This window comes from Homo sapiens, chromosome 12 (genome assembly GCF_000001405.40).
Source record: "Homo sapiens chromosome 12, GRCh38.p14 Primary Assembly".
Taxonomy (NCBI): Eukaryota; Metazoa; Chordata; class Mammalia; order Primates; family Hominidae; genus Homo; species Homo sapiens.
In genome coordinates this window covers 133174201-133187844 of record NC_000012.12, presented here as the reverse complement: position 1 = coordinate 133187844, position 13644 = coordinate 133174201, and the positions used below count along the sequence as shown (strand labels likewise).

The following is a 13644-nucleotide window of genomic DNA, read 5'->3' as shown; positions in this document are numbered from 1 at the left end:
AGCGAGCATTATTTCCTTTGGGGAAAAGGAAATAGGGGTCACATCACATAAATGTGAGAGAAACACGTTAGAAAACAAGGCAGGTTTAACTTCAGGAAATGCAGGGTTAGAGGCAGAAAAGAAATGGCTTCCTGACAAGGCTTAGCACCAAGAGTTCAAGTCAAGTTTTGAGCCCTTCATGATAAAAATACAGGTACGACCCTCAAACAGCAAAGCTAGAGAAAACTGTCCTGGCTCATCCTAGCCTCCAAACGGACTTCCTGCCACAAACCAAATGGCGTCTTAATAGGCTGGTTTGGTAGGGCAGTAGGAATACCCACACAACATTATTATGAGGGAATAAGGAACCAAACGAGGCTCTGACAGACAATAAAAACATAACCAAAATATCTGACCACATAAAAAATTGTAACATAATATTTCAAAATGAAGTAAAAGAAATCAGAAAAACGAAACTTTGAAAGGACAGATATATAAAAAATAAAAGAGCCTAGAAAGTAGATGCTTAGAAATGTGAAATCTGGAAAATGTGAAATGAGAAATATCAGAATAAATAAATAAATTAGGAAAAAAATTCAGAAATGAAGATTAAATTTAGGAGGAACATAAAAAAGCGCCAACGACCTAGAAGGCGGCACAGGTGAAAAGTGGGGAAAGCCTAAAAAAAAAGGAATAAAAAATTAGAAAAAGAAACAATGAATGAAATGCCATGAAAAGGCTGTTCACCAAGGCATTTTTATAACCCAAATATCTGTAACTACATAACTGGTTGAAAACACTATGGGCCATCCATACAGCCAGTAAAAGGTGATAAGAGATAGGGAAGAGGGAGCGAACAACCTCTATGTACCACTATTGGTATAATACAATGATCAATATATACTCTTAGTGATAATGACAAGGGGAAGAATAGTACGTACAGAAAGCTAGCTTTTGTGTTACAAAAAAGAAGTGGGATTGCAAGTATACGTATACGCATGTGTGTGCCATATAAATGGGATCATATAATATCTAGTCTTTTGTGTCTGGCTTCTTTCACTTCGCATAATGCTTTCAAGGTTTATGCTTGTCATAGCACATATCAATAGTTTGTTCTTTTTGTTGGTGAATAGTATTCCATCACGTTTCATCATTCACCATTAATGGACATTAAGATTATTCCCTGGAGGCTGGGCGCAGTGGCTCATGCCTGTAATCCCAGAACTTTGAGAGGTCGAGGCAGGTGAGTTGCCTGAACTCAGGAGTTCGAGACCAGCCTGGGCAACACAGTAAAACCCCGTCTCTACTAAAATACAAAAAAAAAATCAGCCAGGCGTGGCAGCGTACACCTGTAGCCCCAGCTACTTGGGAGGCTGAGGCAGGAGAATTGCTTGAACCTGGGAAGCAGAGGTTGCAGTGAGTGCCACTGTACTCCAGCCTGGGCAACAGAGTGAGACTCCATCTCCAAAAAAAAAAAAAAAGATTATTCCCTGGAGACCAACAGCTTATGTCTCAGAGCCTTCTCTGTGTACACTGGGCACAGTCTACCCGCTCCACATTTTACTCTACATTTCAGGGTCTAGGATCCTAGAATCTCTGCCTCAAGAAATCCTCAACCTACATCCAGAGACTAAATAAGGTACACAGGCCAGGAAAATGCATGTAGAGCCAGAATATCTGGGTTCAAGTCCTGGCTCTACATTGACCAGGGGTGCCACCTGGTCTCCAACTAGCCCTTTCTGGACCTCAGTACCCTTACCCATCAAAGGAGAAAAACAGTATTCACCACCTGGGGCTAGGGCTACTGTGAAGTTTTAAGGTGATAATACCTAATAAATGATTTAGCACAGAACCTCATACGTAGTAGACACTGAGCATTAACATTTGGTTGAAACGGCAAAAGAAAACAAAACAAAACATAAAACCAGGAATACTTAATGAAAATAAACCACACTACAAAATGACAATCAACAAGATAAAAAGCATATGCTGGTTCTTAGAAAAGAGGACTCCACCTTCAAACATCCCCCAACTCTGACCAGTGTCTCCATTTCTACCACACTACACAAAATCCCTGCTACCTCTTGTCTGAACGTGGTCACCTAGTCAGTCTCTGGCTTCCCCCTCTTTCTGTGCCTACTCTTGCCCACCTACAACCTGTCCCCCACTCAGCACTCAGAAGGGTCTTTGGAAACCCTAAGCAGCTCACGTTGCTCCCTGTCTTAGCGCCACACACTCTCCCGGGCCCCATGGCTTCCCAGCCTGATCTGGCCTCTGCACCTGTGTTCATCTGCTCTCCTCTCTCTCACTCCCTACCCCCAGTCACAAAGTCCTTCCTTCCAGGTTACCTGATCTGGCCTCTGCACCTCTGTTCATCTGCTCTCCTCTCTCTCACTCCCTGATCTGGCCTCTGCACCTGTGTTCATCTGCTCTCCTCTCTCTCACTCCCTACCCCAGTCACAAAGTCCTTCCTTCCAGGTTACCAAGGCATCAAACTTCTCTTGCCTCGCAGCCTTGGCCCTGGCTGTTCCCATCCTGGATGTTCTTCTACCTGCTCTTCCCAAGGCTGGCTTGCTATTGTAACTCAGACTTAGCTTAGACGTCACTTCCTCAGTGGGGGCCTTCCCTGAGCACCCAAGCTAAAGTAGCCACCACACATTCTTTGTTTTTTTTTTTTTTTTTGAGACAGAGTCTCACTCTGTCGCCAGATTGGAGTGCAGTGGCGTGATCTTGGCTCACTGCAACCTCCTACTCCTGGGGTTCAAGCGATTTTTCTGCCTCAGCCTCCCGTGTAGCTGGGATTACAGGTGCCCACCATCACGCCCAGCTAATTTTCATATTTTTAGTAGAGACGAGGTTTCGCCATGTTGGCCAGGCTGGTCTCGAACTCCTGACCTCAGATGATCTGCCCACCTTGGCCTCCCAAAGTGCTGGGACTACAGGCGTGACCCACCACACACAGCCCATCACCACTAAATTCCATTTAGGTTTTTATGACTGCTACGGTTTCAATGATTGCATCCCTCCAAAATTCATGTTGAAACTTAACCCCCATTGTGATGGTATTAAGAGGTGGGGCCAATTAGCTGGGCATGGTGGTGCGCACCTGTAATCCCAGCTACTCAGGAGGCTGAGGCAAGAGAACCACTTGAACTCGGGAAGCAGACGTTGTGGTGAGCAGAGATAGCCACTGCACTCCAGCCTGGAAGACAGAGCGAGACTCAGTCTCAAAAAAATAAACAAATAAATAAATAAATAAAGAGGTGCGGCCTTTTAATAGTGATTAAGTCATGACGGCTCTCCTTCAGGAATGGGATTAATACCCTCTTAAAGAGGTTTCAGAGAGCTGCCTGGCCCTTTCATCTCTTTGGCCATGTGAGGACACAGCATTCTTCCCTTTTTGCCCCCTTCCACCATGTAAGGATGTAGCAAGAAAGTGCCATCTTGAAAGCAGAGAGCAGAGCCGGGTGCGGTGGCTCACGCCTGTAATCCCAGCACTTTGGGAGGCTGAGACAGGTGGATCATGAGGTCAGGAGATCGAGGTCATTGTGGCCAACACAATGAAACCACGTCTCTACTAAAAATACAAAAAAAAAATTAGCTGGGCGTGGTGGCACACGCCTGTAGTCCTATTTGGGAGGCTGAGGCAGGGGAATCACTTGAACCCGGGAGGCAGAGGTTGCAGTGAGCCAAGATCGCGCCACCGCACTCCAGCCTGGGGACAGAGAGAGACTGTCTCCAAAAAAAAAAAGAAAACAAGAAAGCAGGCCTCATCAGATACCAAATTCACCAGCACCTTGATCTTCAACTTGTCAGCCTCCAGAATTGTGAGAAAGTAGTATCTGTTATAAGTTCCTCAGTCTGTGATATTTTGTTACAGTAGCACAAACAGACTAAGACAATGATCTAATATTACTTGATCTCCCTCATACATGTCACTTGACAAGCATTTTTGAGGTTTCCATTTCTTTAAGTGTGAATTACATGTCTCTATTTTGTCTTACTTTTCTTGGGTTCCATCTCAGTCTTCAACACCTCTTCCCCTGCTTTCTCTTGTCATTTCCCTGACCACTGTCCTCAGTTCTCTTCTTAGGGTACACATTCTCCCTGAGCTACTTTGGCCACACCTAATTTGCAACCTCTACCTAGAGGAGCCAATCCATACAAAACTGAAATCTTCCCCCTCTACCAATCACAATTCTGACAGTCTTCCCTTACTCAGCAAATGGTGACACTCCCAACCAGGCCCACAGAGTAGAACTCCAGTTGTCATCCCTGGCTTTTCTGCCTCTCTTAGCACTGCACCCAACTAGTTATGAAATCTAATTTCTTCTGCCTCTTTACCTCCTCTCCTTTTTTTTTTTTTGAGACAGAGTCTTGCTCTGTCACCCAGGCTGGAGTGCAGTGGCGCGATCTCGGCTGACTGCAACCTCTGCCTCCTGGGTTCAAGCGATTCTCCTGTCTCAGCCTCCCGAGTAACAGGGATTACAGGTGGGAGCCACTGCACCCAGCCACCTCCTCTCCTTTCTCAAAACCACTAATTTACTTAAACCCTTATATTCTCTTACCTGCTGCAGACTAGACTGTTCTACCCTCAAATCCGTTGTGAAAACACTTCAATAAGTAAACTCCTTCCCCTATACCAACAGTCCCCAACCAGGGACTCGTTTTGTGGAGGACAATTTTTCCATGGACGGGCAGTCGGGTGCGGCGATGGCTTCTGGATGAAACTGTTCCACTTCAGATCATCAGGCATTAGAGTCCCATAAGAAGTGCGCAACCTAGATCTTTCGCATGCGCAGTTCACAATAGGGTTTGTGCTATGAAAAGCTAATGCAGCCTCTGATAGGAGGCGGGGCTCCGGCAGTCATGCTCACTAAACCGCCACTCGCCTCCTGCCATGCACCCCAGTTCCTAACAGACCACAGACTGGTACCAGTCTGAAGCGTGGGGGTTGGGGACCACCTGCCCTATGTGATACAATCCAAGTTTTTAATGGGGTCCTCAAAGCCCTCTATGATCTTAGGCCTACGGCTCTAGCCTCATTTTTTAATATAACTCTACTATCACCATTAAACTCAACATTTTAGCAACCCTAAAGTGCCCAAAGTTCACCACATGAGGTCATTTCAAGCCTCTCAAATTTGCACGTTACTTCTTTTTCCTAGGCTGGTTTTAATCCTTTGTCTACTTTAGGTTTGTCATCTTTCAAACCTAAGGTTAAGAATCTCTTAATCATTGAAGCATTTGGGAGTAAGGGGTTAGGGGGTGTCCTTACTTCCAAAACTGACCCATTCCTGCATGTCTCCGTGTATTTCCACAGCCTGCTCCCAGAGCACTCATTAACTTGTCATTGTCTTTCTTATCCACCATTCCTAGACCACTGTTCTTCAAGACAGGGATGATAAGCAACCCATCTTTGCATTTTTAGCACCTGCCCCAGGGTCCAGCAAACAAAATACAATAAAAAAAAATGTTGAACAAGTGAATAAAAAAGTTTGTAATTTCCAAAATAAGGTTTAAAGATCCCAGATACAGAAGGCCCTCAGTAAATAAAGGCTGAAAAAACTGAAAGATGTGTGAGTATCCCTTGTTTAACTCCAAAGTTCAGCGTACAAAGTTGTTAGAAAAGAGATTGATGAAAGGAGGAAAAAAGGAAGTCGGATGACAAGAAGCATTTCTGGAAAGTCTAACATGCTATAAATGACGATCCAGTTGCCTAAAAGAGCGGTGGGGTGAGAAAGCTCCTGGCAAATTCAGACTGGAGTAGATGGAGTGCGCACACGTTGGCATTCAGGGAGAGCTTTTCAAGAATGAAAGAAAACCCCTACTCACCCAAATAGAAGCTGTCCGGACCCTGGTGGCCATCCCTACGGTCAGTTTTGTGTGCCTCGCTGGAAGTGACAGGACGCGAGGGATGCTAGAAGAGAGAGCACAGTGAAGAAAGAGGTCACCCAGCAGTCCCCAAACCCAGAGGGGGAGGGTCCGAGGCACCAGGGCTGCCTGCCATTCTCGGAGCTGAGGCTCCTTCCCTCCCACAGCACGGGATTCACCATCTCCACACCCTCACCAACACACAGGTTAGGGTCAGGCAACCGCCCCGGGTCAGCAGCAGGAGAGAGCTAAGGCAGATTAGTTCTGTCCCGTCCCGCCGCCTTGAAACCGGAGGAATTCCGCACCTCCGGCTCCTCCAAACCCTGAAGGGGCAGCAGAATAGAGTCCAGGGTACTGCCTCCACCTCCAGATCTGCAGCCAGAAGGGTTCGCAACCACTCCAGACTCGGCTGGCCCGTTGACCACGACGGGCGATGAACGCTATCTGAGGAACAAGGATCTCGCCATCGGCGCGGAACAATGGCGGCCGCTACGTATGTCGCACAGGAATTGCGTCATGGAGAGGCAAAGGCAAAAAAACTACAACTCCCAGAGGCCTCTGCGAGGAGTTACTCCCGCGCCGGAGGGCTCCGGCCAAGGGCCACCGGGAGGGGGCGTGCTAAGATGACCCGGAAGCTCAGGCCTTCCTGGCCAGGTCCCTGAGCTCCCGCGCTTGCAGGTTTTAAATTTTAAAGAGAATTAAAATACTTGACACCAATGGCTCAACGGTTGGAGGGATGTAAATTAGGTTACAAGTGTTCTAGTCCCTGCTTTACTGAAATGGTAAAAGTCTTATTTTGCTTTACACTTTAATAACAGATTCGTAAAATTCCCATTACATGTTAACATAAATAATATTTTAATGAAAATTACATATATTTTACAAAAGAAAAAATTTAGTAAGGAGTGGCTTCGCTTTTTAAGTCTTTTCTGACTTACTAGAAAGCTGGATTCTCATATCTGCTTCTATGTTTAATCTGTTGCGTATGTTGTTTTTGTTAAAGTATATAAAGATACAAGTCGAACAAGGGATAGTTTTGTTAGTGTACAATCTGAAACCACGTAGATGAACTTTTTCTACTCTATTACATAAAATCCGTTGGTCTACACTGCACTTTGAATGGATTCTTTTATCACGCATGATTTCGTAACATCATGTATTGGCCAGTTGGAAAATATTGGTTTACTTTAATGGCAAAAGCCGCAATTACTTACTTTTGCACCAACGGAAAATATCCACTAATCATTATTGATCTTAAGTATTGGGAAGAGGTGACATTCACAGAGGCAGATACAAGTTTTCTAGAATTCTTTTGTTTTTGGCTTTTAAAAACTTTTATAAATTTATGAGGTACAAGTGTAATTTTGTTACATGCATCAGTTGTGTAGTGGTGATGTCAAGGCTTTTAAGGTATCCACGCCCTATAGTACGTTATATGCATTGTACCAGTCAGGTAATTTATGATTATCCCTGAAACCCCCCCACACCTTTTGAGTCTTCATTGTCTATCATCCCACACTCTACATCCATGTGTACATATCCTTTAGCTCATACTTAAAGTGAAAACATGTGTTTTTCTTTCTGTGCCTGAGTTGTTTCACTGAAGATAGTGGCCACTAGTTCCATCCATGATGCTGCAAAAGACAATTTCATTCTTTCTTATGGCTGAATAGTATTCCATTGTGTATATATAACACATTTTCTTTATTCATCCATTCATGGACATTTAGGTTAATTCCATACCTGTGATATTGTGAATAGTGCTGTGATAAACATATGAGTGCAGGTATTTTTTTTATATATATAATGATTTCCTTTGGGTAGATACTCAGTAACAGGATTGCTTTATCAAATGGTAATTCTATTTTTAGTTCTTTGAGAATTCTCCACACTGTTTTCCATAGGTTATACTAATTTCACTTTCTCACCAACAGTGTATAGGAGTTTCCTTTTCTCCACATCCTCACCAACATCTTCTTTGTCTTTTTATTTTTATTATTTTATTTTATTTTTTGAGACGGAGTTTTGCTCTTGTTACCCAGGCTAGAGTGCAGTGGCCCGATCTCGGCTCACCGCAACCTCCGCCCAGGTTCAAGCAATTCTCCTGCCTCAGCCTCCTGAGTAGCTGGGATTACAGGCATGCACCACCACACCCGGCTAATTTTGTATTTTTAGTGGAGACAGGTTTCTCCATGTTGGTCAGGCTGGTCGCAAACTCCCGACCTTAGGTGATCCGGTCACCTCAGTTTACCAAAGTGCTGGGATTACAGGCATGAGCCACCGAGCTCGGCCTGTTTTTGTTTGTTTTGATTTTTTTTTCCTTTTGAGACGGAGTCTCGCTCTGTCGCCCAGGCTGGAGTGCAGTGGCGCGATCTGGGCTCACTGCAAGCTCCGCCTCCCGGGTTCACGCCATTCTCCTGCCTCAGCCTCCCAAGTAGCTGGGACTACAGGGGCCCGCCACCACGCCTGGCTACTTTTTTGTATTTTTTAGTAGAGACGGGGTTTCGCCGTGTTAGCCAGGATGGTCTTAATCTCCTGATCTCGTGATCTGCCCGCCTCGGCCTCCCAAAGTGCTGGGATTACAGGCGTGAGCCACCGCACCCGGCCCGGCCTGTCTTTTTAATAACAGCTACTGTGACTGATGTAAGATAATATCTCTTTTTTTTCCCCCACAACCTCGCTCTGTCGCCCAGGCTGGAGTGCAGTGGCTTGATCTCGGCTCACTGCAACCTCCGCCTCCTGGGTTCAAGCAATTCTCCCCGCCTCAGCCTCCCAAGTAGCTGGGATTACAGGTGCCCACCACCATGCCCGGCTAATTTTTGTATTTTTTATGAGAGACGTGGTTTCGCCATGTTAGCCAGACTGGTCTTGAACTCCTGATCTCAGGTGATCTGCTCACCTCGGCCTCCCAAACTGCTGGGATTACAGGCGTGAGCCACAGCGCCCGGCCTCATTGTGGTTTAAATTTGCATTTCTCTGATGTTTAGTGATGATGTTGAGCATATTTTCATATGCCTGTTGGCCATTTGTATGTCTTCTTTTGTAAAGTGTTATTTGTGTTCTTTGCCTGCTTCTTAATGGGATTATTTGGGTTTCGTTGTTGTTGTTGATCTGTTTGAGTTCCCTGTAAACTCTAGATATTAGTCCCCTCTTGTATGCAAAGCTTGCAAAAATTTTCTCCCATTCTGCAAGTGTCTCTTCACTCTGCTTACTGTTTATTTCACTATGAAGAAGATTTTTAGTTTAAGTCCCATTTCTCTCTTTTTCTGTTTGTTGCATGTGCTTTTGAGGTCTTAGTCATGAATTATTTACCCAGACCAATGTCCAGAGGGGTTTTCCGTAGGTTTTCTTCTAGTATGTTTATAGTTTCAGGTATTCCATTTAAGTCTTTAATACAGCTTGAGTTGATTTTTGTATATGGCGAGAGATAAGGGTCAAGTTTCATTCTTCTGCATATGGCAATCCAATTTTCCCAGCACCATTTATTGAAGAGGTTGTATTTTCCCCATGCTTGTTCTTGTTGACTTTGTCAAAGATCAGTTGGCTGTAGATATGTGGCTTTATTTCTGGGATCTCTATCTGTTCCATTGACCTATGTGTCTGTTTTTATACCAGTACTATGCTGTTTTGGTTATTATAGCCTTATAGTATAATTTGAAGTCAGGTGAAGTTATGCCTCCAGCTTTGTTCTTTTTGTTCAGGATTGCTTTGGCTGTTTGAGCTCTTTCTCGGTTGCATATGAATTTTAGGATTTTTTTTCTTTTTCTTTTTCTTTTCTCTTTTTTTTTTTTTTTTTTTTTTTTTACACAGAGTCTCACTCTGTCACCCAGGCTGGAGTGCAGGGTCATGATCTCGGCTCACTGCAACCTCTGCCTCCCAGGTTCAAGCAATTCTCCTGCCTCAGCCTCCAGAGTAGCTGGGATTACGCGTGTGCACCACCATGCCCGGCTAATTTTTGTATTTTTAGTAGAGATGGGTTTTCACCATGTTGGCCAGGGTGGTCTTGAACTCCTGACCTCATGATATGCCCATCTTGGCCTCCCATAGTGCTGGGATTACAGCTGTGAGCCACCGCACCCGGCCTAGGATTTTTTTTCTCTAAATCTGTGGAGAATGACGTTGATATTTTGATAGGGAGTGCATTGAATCTGTAGATGGCTTTGGATAGTATGATAATTGTAACATTATTAATTCCTCTGAACAGCATGGGATGTTTTTCCATTTGTTTATATCATCTACAATTTCTATCATCAGTATTTTGTAACTTTCCTTGTAGAGAGTTTTCACCTCTTTGGTTAAATGTATTCTGAGGTGAGCTTTTTGTAGCTATTAAAAGTAGAATTGCCTTCTTGATTTTGTTCTTAGCTAGATGTTGTTAGGGTACAGAAATGCTACTGATTTTTTGTTTTGATTTTGAATACTGAAGCTTTCCTGAATTCATTTATCAAATCTAATACTTTTTCAGTGGCATCTTTAGGTTTTTCTAGATATAAGATTATATCATTTGCAAACAGGGACAATTTGACTTCCTGTTTTCCAATTCAGATGCCTTTTATTTCTCTTGCCTGATTGCTCTGGCTAGAACTTGCAGTACTATGTTAAATAGCAGTAGTGTAAGTGGGCATTCTTGTCTTGTTCCAGTTCTTGGAATGTTTTCAACTTTTCTCTCATCAGTATGATGTTGGCTGTGAATTTGTCATATGTGGCCTTTACTATTTTTTAGTATGTTCCTTCTATGCCTAGTTTCTTGAGGATTTTTATCATGAAGGGATGCTGAATTTTATTAAATGTTTTCTCTGCATCTATTGAGATGATCGTGTGGGTTTTGTCCTTAATTAGGTTTATGCAGTGCATCACATTTGCTGATTTGTGTATGTTGAACCATCCCTGCATCCCTAGTATAACACTCACTTGATCATGTGTATTATCATTTTCATGTGCTGTTAAATTCAGCTTGCTAGTATATAGTTAAGGATTTTTGCATCTGTGTTCTTGAGGGATATTGGTCTATAGTTTTCTTTTTTTTGTTGTGTCCTTGGTTTAGGAATCAGGGTAACATAGGGCCTTGTAGAATGAGGTAGGAAGAATAATTCCCTCCTCCTCAATTTTTTGAAACAGCTTTAGGGGAATTGGTATTAGTTCTTTGTACATTTGGTAGAATTCGGCTGTGAATCGATTTCACCCTAGGCTTTTTTGGTGGGGGAGATATTTTATTATTGATTCAATCTTGCTCCTTATTATTGGTCTGTTCAGGGTTTTTCTTTGTTCATGTTTCAATCTTGGGAGGTTGTATTTTCCAGGAATTTATCCTTATAATCTAGGTTTTATAGTTTGTTAGTATATAATTGTTCATAATGGTCTCTAATGATCTTTTGTATTTTTGTGGTATCAGTTGTAATGTCTTCTTTTTCATTTCTGATTTTGTGTATTTGGATATTCTATCCTTTTCTTGGTTAGTCTACCTAGTAGTTGTCAGTTTTAGGGTTTTTTCCTTTCAAAGAACCAATTTTTGGTTTTATTGGTCCATTATATTGTATCCATTTTTGTCTCTATTTCATTTAGTTTTACTTTGACCTTTGTTATTTATTTTCTTCTGGTAACTCTGGGTTTGGTTTGTTCTTATTTTTCTAGTTCCTTGAGAAGTAATGTTAGGTTGTTAATTTGTAATCTTTCTGCTTTTTTGATATGGGCATTTAATGCTATCCACTTCCCTCTTAGCACTGCTTTTGCTGAATCCTATAGGTTTTGATATGTTGTATTTCCATTTTCATTTGTTTCAAAAAACTTTTAAATTATAATCTTAATTTTTTCACTGACCCAGTGATCATTCAGGAGCATATAGTTAATTTCTACATATTTGTATGGTTTCGAAAGTTCCTCTTGTTGTTGATTTCTACTTTATTCCCCTGCAGTCTGAGAAGATAATTGATATGATTTTGATTTTTAAAAATTTGTTGAGACTTGCCTTGTGGCCTAACATATGGTCTATCTTGGAGAATGTTCCATGTGCTGATGGGAAAAGTGTATATTCTGCAGTTGTTGAGTAGAATATTCCATAAATATCTGTTAGGTTTGCTTGGTTTGAAGTCCAATTTAAGTCCAATGTTTCTTTGTTGATTTTCTGTCTTGATGATGTGTCTACTGCTCTGAGTGGGTGTTGAGGTCCCCCACTACTATTGTATTGCTGTCTATCTCTTTCCTTAGAACTAGAAATATTTGTTTTAGGAATATGGGTGCTCTGGTGTTGGGTGCATATACATTTAGAATTATTATATCCTCTTGCTGATTTGATCCTGTTATCATATATTGATTTTCTTTTTCTTTTTCTTTACTGATGATTTAAAGTCTGTTTTATCTGATGTATATCTATTTCTGCTCACTTTTGGTCTCCATTTGTGTGGAATATCTTTATCCACCCCTTTTTTTTTTAGTCCATATGTGTCTTTACAGGTAAAGTGAATTTCTTGTAAGCAGCATATAGTTTTATTATCTTTTAAAATTCATTCTGCAAATCTATAGCTTTTAGGTGGAGTATTTATTCCATTTACATTCAAGGCTAATATTGATATGTGAGGTTTTGTTCTTGTCATATTGTTGTTTTCTAGTTGTGTTATAAGTTTTTTATTTCTTTCTCTTTCTCTGTCTCTTTGTGCTTTGGTGGAATTCTGTTGTGTTGCCATTTGATTTATTTGTCTTCCTCCTCTGTTTAATTATTTTATAAGACCTGTGAGTTTTATACATTCATGTATTTTTATGATGGTGAATATTAGCCTTTCATTCCCATAGTTAGGACTCTTGAGCATTTCTTATAGAACCAGTGTAGTGGTGACAAATTCCTTCAGTGTTTGCTTGTCTGGGAGGGGCTTTATTTCTACTTCATTTATGAAGCTTAATGTTGCTGGATATAAAATTCTTGGCTAAGTTTTTTTCTTTTAGCACTTTGAAAATGCCACCCCATTCTGCTCTGTCCTGTAAGGTTTCTGCTGAGAAGTTCACTGTTAGTCTGATGGGGTTTTCTTTGTAAGTGACTAGGCGCTTTTCTCTTGCTGATTTTAAAATTAGTTCCTTCTACTTTGATTTTAAGCAGTCTGAAATTGTATGCTGTGTTGAAATCTTTTTTGCAATAAATTTTCTGAGGATTGCTGGACCTCCAGTATCTGAATGTCCAAATCTCTGGTTAAACTTTGTAAGTTTTCGTCGATTATTTATTTCAATAGATTTTCTACCCTTTTTTATTTTTCTTTCCCCTCAGATGACAGTAATTCATAAGTTCAGTCACTTTATGTCGCCCTAAATGTCTTGAGGGTTTTGTTCATTCTTTTATTTATTTTTAAATTTTTGTCTGACTGGATTACTTCAGAAGAATTGTCTTCTTTCTTCTGCTTAATCTAGTCTATTGTTGAAGCTTTCAAATGTATTTTGTAATTCCTTCAATGAAATTTTCAGATCAATAATTTGTTAGGTTTTTTTTTCAAAGGTATCTTATCTTCTTGGTAAATTTCACATTTATATCCTAAACTGATTTTCTGATTTCTTTGCATAAGTTTTCAGATTTCTCTTGCATCTTATTGACCATCTTTAAAATCAATATTTTGAATACTATATCTGGCATTTCAAGACTTTCTTTTTGGTTAAGATGTATTGCTGGAGAATTATTACGTTCCTTTCAGGGTATCATAATATCTTGCTTTTTCATGTCTCCTATACCTTTACACTGATTTCTGCACATATGAAGCAATAGTTGCTTCTTTTACTTTTGAATTTACTTTTGTTGGGGGGACACTTTTTTCT

The 13644-nt window shown here is 41.4% G+C and overlaps 1 protein-coding gene across 9 annotated transcripts in view, besides 4 other annotated features; it reads right to left on the bottom strand.

The window, feature by feature from the left end:
* Positions 1-6350, bottom strand: part of ZNF268 (zinc finger protein 268) — a 33338-nt gene extending 26988 nt beyond the window's left edge. For 7 of the 9 annotated variants that reach the window (NM_152943.3, NM_003415.3, NM_001165885.2 and 4 more), the window contains exons 1-2: positions 6159-6350; positions 5815-5899 (exon numbers count right to left, since the gene is read on the bottom strand). In NM_152943.3, the coding sequence (NP_694422.2) occupies positions 5815-5847 (33 nt within the window). In that variant the 5' untranslated portion in view covers positions 5848-5899; positions 6159-6350. The remainder of the gene's footprint in view (positions 1-5814; positions 5900-6158) is intronic. The other 2 variants (NM_001165882.3, NM_001165881.3) reach the window with 1 other exon arrangement.
* Positions 5963-6162: an enhancer, noted in NCBI's record as "active region_7402". NCBI's record gives its function as "activates an Ori minimal core promoter by ATAC-STARR-seq in GM12878 lymphoblastoid cells {active_cell/tissue: GM12878}" and the evidence as "EXISTENCE:reporter gene assay evidence [ECO:0000049][PMID:35858748]".
* Positions 5963-6632: a biological region, named in NCBI's record as "H3K27ac hESC enhancer GRCh37_chr12:133757799-133758323".
* Positions 6108-6632: an enhancer, noted in NCBI's record as "H3K27ac hESC enhancer chr12:133757799-133758323 (GRCh37/hg19 assembly coordinates)". NCBI's record gives its function as "activates a minimal SCP1, AML or CMV promoter by ChIP-STARR-seq in primed H9 embryonic stem cells {active_cell/tissue: H9 hESC(primed)}" and the evidence as "EXISTENCE:reporter gene assay evidence [ECO:0000049][PMID:30033119]".
* Positions 6203-6512: an enhancer, noted in NCBI's record as "active region_7401". NCBI's record gives its function as "activates an Ori minimal core promoter by ATAC-STARR-seq in GM12878 lymphoblastoid cells {active_cell/tissue: GM12878}" and the evidence as "EXISTENCE:reporter gene assay evidence [ECO:0000049][PMID:35858748]".